Source organism: Homo sapiens, chromosome 20 (assembly GCF_000001405.40).
Source record: "Homo sapiens chromosome 20, GRCh38.p14 Primary Assembly".
Lineage (NCBI taxonomy): Eukaryota > Metazoa > Chordata > Mammalia > Primates > Hominidae > Homo > Homo sapiens.
Genome location: NC_000020.11, coordinates 22,740,485 through 22,747,825, shown reverse-complemented (window position 1 = coordinate 22,747,825; position 7,341 = coordinate 22,740,485). Strand labels below are relative to the sequence as shown.

Sequence of the window (7,341 nt, the reverse complement as noted above, 5' to 3'; positions counted from 1 at the left end):
CCCGGCTAACTTTTTGTATTTTTAGTAGAAACAGGGTTTCACCGTGTTAGCCAGGATGGTCTGGATCTCCTGACCTCCTGATCCACCTGCCTCGGCCTCCCAAAGTGCTGGGATTACAGGCGTGAGCCACAGTGCCCAGCCTGTTATCATGTCTTCTATGTACATCCTACTCAAGATCCCAGGATGGTGTCAAATTCTTTGTATTTTAGCCTCTGAGTATCAGATTCAAAATCTTTACAGAAGCAATGACTTATGAATCACAAAATATAGTCAAATTAAATCTTTCACTTCAGTTGACTTCTAAGTGTATGAAGCAAGGGTCCAGACTGACCCAAACTCTGTTCACATTGGGATTCAGGAATTTATAAGCATTTCTAGTGCACTGGGGCACTGCCAAGAGCTATTCATGTGAGACCCCAGTAAAGCCCTGGGCAGGACATCCTGGAAAGACAAATTTGCTTCAGGGTGATTCTAATTGCCCTTCTCTTGGCTCCTTTCCCGCACATCTCACATGACTTACTTCTGAGTCCTAGGAGGAGGTGGGGGGCGCGCAAATATCAAAGGAGCACTGGAGAGAGCAAAGCCTGGGCAGCACAGCCATTGGTGATGTCGGCGAAGAACCTGTGATGCAGGCAAACCACCCTGGTGACACTGGAGCCTGGCTTTGCTGACACTAGCAGCTCTGAATGGCATCATCCAATGTGATAGGCATGGTTGCACTGGGAGGTATTCACAGCACAGGTGATACCACCACCACTTGCTGGAGTTTGTGTAGATGTTACATGGCAGCCACTTCAGGTGGGAACCTAACAGGAAAAAATGGCAGACTCAAAGTGGGTTACTGAAGAGAGTTTAATATACATACTACTGAGAAATGTGGGAACAGAAGGTTGAAAAAGCACAAGACATTCTAAACCCAGACCAGTGTACCCTGGGTGCAATAATAATGGGGATCCATCACTCTCTCCACTCTCCCCAGGCATCAAGAAGCAGAGGAGTTGACCTGGCTGAGTGTATATATTGCATTCTGAATTAGTTGTCTAATTTGGAGTAACAAACAAACCTAAAGCTTAGCATATTAAAACAAAAAACAATTATTATCTCACACAATTTCTGAGGGTCAGAAATTTGAGAGTTGTTTAGTAGGGTCATGCTGGCACATAGTCTCTCAGTAAGATCCAGTGAAGATATTGGCTGGGGCTACTGTCATCTGAAGGCTTGACTGGGGCTGCAGGATTGGCTTCCAAGATGGCACATTCCCATTCCCATGGCTGCTGGCTTGAGGCCTTGGTTCTTTGTTGGCTTTTGGGCTGAGAGTCCATTTCTGTGCCATGGGGACCTCTCCACAGGGATGCTTGAGGGTCTTCACAATATGGCAGCTGGCATCCCCCAGCCTGAATGATCAAAGAGAAAGACAGAACAGGGCAGAAAACAAAACGTCTTTTATGACCTAGCATTAGAAGTGACACCTCTATGCATACTTCAATTTATTTTTTACAAATGAGTCATTAAGTTTACCCCACACTTAAGAAAAGTGAAAATGTATTCTACCCTTCGAAGGAAAGAGTATTAAATAATTCATAGATACACATTAAAATCATCACAGTCCAAAGTCTTTGTCAACTATGTAGGTAGATTTAAAATTTGAAATTATTCACCGATACAGATTTTAAAATACCAACACAAAGTCTGCAATCAGGACAAGAGCTGAATCTTTCCTTTTACTGGGATTATGAAAGGTTCCAGTTGAGTGTTCGTGGCCTTCTGATTGTAACAGCTGAATCCCAGGTAGCTTTTCCTAAGGATTATTACACTGTGTGGATTCCAGAAAGGTTCCAGCTGATGTACATGGTGGTCAGTTCTTGCTTCTGAGGGAAAATAAGAATGAGAACATGATTTATACCTGGTAAATAAGATGGACAGGGGTGGAACTCACATTCAGATTCTCTGACTTCTAGTGGATGTGGTTTTTCTCATAGATTTGATAACTCAACCTGCACCTAAAAGGCCAGGATAGACCCCACATCTCACCTTACCTACTCATTAATAGATCTAACCTATTCATGTACGAAAAACGCTTAGGGTCAAGATTTCTGACTGGAAGTCAGAGAATTGACTGTGAGTCCCACCTTGTCCCTGCCTGTGAATTGACCAGGTTTAAATTATGTCCTCATCCTTATTTTCCTCACTGGTCAAATGAAAATAATATATATATTCACCTTCAGAATCACAGAACATGAGAACAAGATGACATATTATCAATATCAGTATTATTGTTCCTAAAGTTGTCAAAGTTCAAGAAACTTCATGAAAAAAGGTGGCAATTATCATTAACTTCATCACCCAAAGGCCACCAGAGTTTTTCAAAATTTTTCCTATCTGAAAAAAAAAATAAAAGAAGAAGCTGATGAACAAGTATCAGATACCATTTTAGGACTGTAGGCTGGTGTTAAGGCCAGTGAATTGTAGATACTAGAGTCGTGGGGGTAAGGCTTGGGAAATATTTTCTTTTTATAACTCCTGATATTACTCAGTGAGATAAAATAATGACAGGTTCATTTACTAATCATTGCTTGATAAGCAGTATTGCACAATTTGTGAAAGGATAAAAACAATTACAAACAAATCTAAGCAACCAAGGCAGACTACAGGTGCCTGAGGAAGGTTTACTTTGACACAGCTTCCATTACAGATGAGTAGAGATGTCATCCAAACCCAGTCTGTTCCAATCAGCACTCCACCACTGGCATGACTTCAGGCTCTTTGGCACCTGTGAGATATAAGTGGGTCTTCCAGCATTCACTCCTATAAACACTTTCATAAAAGTTTTATTTGTATCTAATAAAGTGCAATGTAATACCCAGAATAAGTAACCCATGGCATTCAGCCAGGGAATGAATTCCTGCCTCAAATAAAGGAAAAGCACAGAGCAAGTTATACTTACGACATTCCTGTCTCTGTGCAGAATCTCACATGTCTTTCCTGGGAGGAGAAGGTGATGAACCTGTAGCTGGGAAGTTCTTGGAATGTCAAGCAGTGGCAGCTCTGATGCCCATGCAGAGAAACACTCATATCATCTGAGAATTGTGAGCATCTCTCCAGTCTGCTAGTTTAGCAATGTTGCAAAATCAGTTTCTGGAGAACATAATAAATTACCATTTGTTCTGTTTAAATATACACAAAAGGCAGTGTTAGTATGTAAAACTAAGTTTTTATGGACAAACAGGCATGTTATCAAGATTTATTTGATCTCTAACGTGGGGGAATCATCTGAAATCTTAGTCACCTGCAAATGCAAGTCTAGACTTGCTAGGTTTGTGATATGGTCTTGCACTTCTTTTAACATCAAAATCTAAGTTACCACTTGAAATTGAGTTTGTCAGTGAGTTTTAAGAGTTATGGCACTGGAAATGTATTCTTTTCATTATTTAAAAATATACTTTATTATTAACTATTGTTACCATGCTGTGCAATAGACTCCAAAATCATATTTTCCTTCTAATGGAAACTTTGCACCCTTTGATCAATATCTCCTCATTCCTTCCCCCAACCTCTGGTAGCCACCATTCTACTCTCTATTGCTTTGAGTTCGACATTTTTAGATTCTGCATGTAAGTGAGATCACGTAGACTTTGTCTTTCTGTGCCTGGCTTATTTCACTTAGCACAATGTCCTCCAGCTTCATCTACATTGTCACAAATGACTGAATTTCCCTCTTTTTAAAGGCCAAATAATATTTCAGAAAAAGCAATAGTACTAACAATCTTCCTGTTTTGGGGATGGCATAATGTGCAAAGAGTCAAGGGTTGTAGACTCTTTCATTTTTCCTGCCACTCGCTGAGCAATTTGGGGCAAGTCATTCCACTGTATCTTCTATCTATTCAGTCAGAAACATTTATTGAGCACACACTGTGTGCCAGACAGGTTTCTCAGCATCAAAAATACAGCAGTGAAGAAGGCCAACAGTAATGGAAAAAGTGTGTGTGTGTGTGTGTGTGTGTGTGTGTGTGTGTGAGAGAGAGAGAGAGAGAATGAGGGGATGAAAAAGACTATCCAGAAACTTTAGATGGAGCAAAATGGCCATGCTTGGGCAGCCACTCTGAACAGATTTCCTCTTGGGTGACTTTACATTTAATCTAAGATCTGAGCAACAAGAAGAAGCCTACTCTGCAAAGATCAAGTTCAATGGCATTCCTTGGTGAGGAAATAACTAGTGCTAAGCCTAGAAACAAGCACGGGCTTGTGGTGGTGTAGGCTGCTGAAGCTGCAACTTGGAGACAAGATCAGAAGGGAGGACAAGGGTGAGACCAAGTAGAGTAAGTGAACCCAGATAAGTGCTTGGACTGCATTCTAAGCAATGGGACATGGTTGTTGGAAAGTCTGAAGTAGGAAAGCAATGTGATCCATGCTTTTAAAAAATCTCCTTGTGTCTCTGTGGGATTAAAACATACAGAGCAATGACTGAATCAGTATATGCCTTAGGAGACTACAGACTCTTCCAGTGTTCTAGAAGCTTGGACTAAGGTAGTGAGAATTCACAGAAGTGAAGGATTCAGGATATCTATATATGTAAGGAAAGGAAGACTTACTGGTGTGAAAGAAGAAGAGAATTCAGAGAGGTTGCATAGACTTTTGGCTTTAGCAAAAAATGAATCAATTTTGGATATTGTTTGCAGAAATGAAATGATAAATATTCTAGGTAGATTGGGGGAATACACCTGGAGTTCTGTTTGGGCCATTACAGACATGTTCCCTATAGACATCCATGAAGATTTGGGTTTATGGGTTTAGGTGAGAGGAGCGGGTGGAAATTTTGGAGTCTTTTCATGTAGAGGATTTGAAGTCTGAGGCCTAAATATTGTCACTCAGAGAGTTTGCAGATAAAGAAGGAAAGGGTGCCCAGGAAAGAGCACTTCAGCATTTGGAGGATGAGTAGAGGAGAGTATAAGGAAAAAGTACTCAAGGAGGTAGGGGATCTACCAAGGAAAGAAAGTATTACAGGAAGAGGGCAGTAGTTGCTGAGTGGTTGCTCAACTGTTGCTAAGATTATGTGGAATAATAGAAAGTGGCTGTTGAATTTAGAAACACAAAGATCTTGGTGTCTATGAAGAGTCTTTTTTTTTTTTTTCGAGATGGAATCTGGCTCTGTTGCCCATGCTGTAGTGCAGTGGTGCGATCTTGGCTCACCACAACCTCTGCCTCCCGGGTTCAACCAATTCTCCTGCCTCAGCCTCCTGAGTAGCTGGGATTACAGGCAAGTGCCACTGCTTTGTCCGACTAATTTTTTTTTTATTTTATTTGTATTTTTTTAGTAGAGACATGGTTTCACCATGTTGATCAGGCTGGTCTTGAACTCCTGGCCTTAGGTGGTCCAACTGCCTCAGCCTCCCAAAGTGCCAGGATTACAGGTGTGAGCCACTGCACCCGGCCTCCATGTAGAGTCTTAATGGAGTGATGGAGTGAGCTGACAAGAGAATGAGAGGTGAGTATGAACAGATGGAACCCTTGAGAAGCTATAACATAGGGAGTGAAGAACCAGCGCTGGCTCGGGAGAAATATGAGACCAGGAAAAATCTTTTCTGCATGGAAGATACTAGAATATGTTTACCTGCTGATGGGAATGGTCTAGTAAAGAAAAGAGGGCATTGTTTCAGGAGAAAGGGAACAACTAAAGGAGGGAGGTCCTGAGGCTATGAGAATAGATGTGGTTCAGGCCATGTCAGAAGGGGCTGGCTTCCATGAAACTATCCCAGGAGCGGAAGAAGAAAAAAAGGCTTGGCCCAGATGCCAGCCGATATATGGGTGGTACCTTGAGGCTATTACCAACTGAGGAGTTGCTTTCAGTTTCTCAGTACAGTATGAGGCTGAGTTATTAGCCAGCAGTTGCCCTATACTTAAAATGAGAGGGCTGAGACATTATTTTTTTAACAAACTTTATTTTTAGAGAAGTTTAAGATTCACTGAAAAATGAATAGACAAGTACAGAGTTCCTATACACCCCTCACTCCCACATCTGCGCAGTCTCTTCCACTATCAACATCCCCCACCAAAGCAGTACATTTGTTACAATCCAGGAACCTACACTGATACATCATTATCACCCAAAGTCCATAGTTTACATTGGGGTTCACTCTTGGTGCTGTATATTCAATAGATTTGTATTCAATAGACATATATCCAACACTGTAGTATTCTACAGATCAGTTTTCACTGCCCTAAAAATTATCTGTGCTCCATCTATTCATCCCTCCCTCTCCTCAACCCCTGGCAATCATTGATCTTTTCATTATCCACATAGTTTTACCTTTTTCAGAATGTCATGTAGTTGGAATCATTCACTATGTAGCCCTTTCAGATTGGCTTCTTTCACTTAGCTATATACACTTAAGGTTCCTTCATGTCTTTTCACAGCTCAATAGCTCATTTTTTAAGTGCTAAATATTATTCCATTGTCTGAATGTTTCACAATCTATTTATCCATTCACTTGCTGAAGGACATCTTGGTTCCTTCAAAGTTTTGGCCATTATGAATAAAGCTTCCATAAACATCTGTGTGAAGGTTTTAGTGTAGACATAAGTTTTCAACTCATTTGGGCAAATACCTAGGATCACAACTGCTGAATTCCATGTTGAGTATGTTTAGTTTTGTAAGTAATCACCAAACCATCTTGCAAAGTAGTTGTACCATTCTGCATTCTCAGCAGCAATGAATGAGAGTTTCTGTTGCTCAACATCCTCGCCATATTTGGTGGTGTCAGTGTTTTGGATTTTTATTCTAATGAATAGTGATGTCTCATTATTGTCTTATTTACAGTTCCCTAATGACGTATGATGTGCAGTATCTTTTCATATCCTTGTTTGTCATCTGCATATCTTTGTCAAAGTGTCTGTTTCAGTCTTTGGCATATTTTTTAAATGAGTTGTTTGTTTCCTTAGTGTTAAGTTTAAGAGTTCTTTGTATGTTTTGGATAACAATCCTTTATCACATGTATCCTTTGCATATATTCTCTCTCAATCTGCAGCTTGTCTTCATTTTCTTTTTTTTTTTTTATTATTATACCTTAAGTTCTGGGGTACATGTGCACGACGTACAGGTTTGTTACATATGTATACATGTGCCACATTGGTGTGCTGCACCCATTAACTCTTCATTTACATTGGGTATATCTTCTAATGCTTTCCCTCCCCCCTCCCCCCACCCCATGGCAGGCCCTGGTGTATGATGTTCCCCTTCCTGTGTCCAAGTGTTCTCATTGTTCAATTCCCACCTATGAGTGAGAACATGCGGTGTTTGGTTTTTTGTTCTTGTGATAGATTGCTGAGAATGTTGGTTTCCAGCTT

The 7,341-nt window shown here is 40.7% G+C and overlaps 1 protein-coding gene across 1 annotated transcript; it reads right to left on the bottom strand.

Annotated features, from left to right (window-relative positions):
• Nucleotides 1-834: 834 nt before the first annotated feature.
• LOC124904962 (uncharacterized) lies at nt 835-3,156 on the bottom strand. The gene is made up of 2 exons (XM_047440637.1): nt 2,945-3,156; nt 835-1,394 (listed from the first exon to the last, which is right to left on the bottom strand). Exons 1-2 carry the CDS (start codon nt 3,070-3,072, stop codon nt 1,169-1,171), a joined length of 354 nt encoding a protein of 117 aa, XP_047296593.1. The 5' UTR covers nt 3,073-3,156; the 3' UTR covers nt 835-1,168.
• Nucleotides 3,157-7,341: the final 4,185 nt, after the last annotated feature.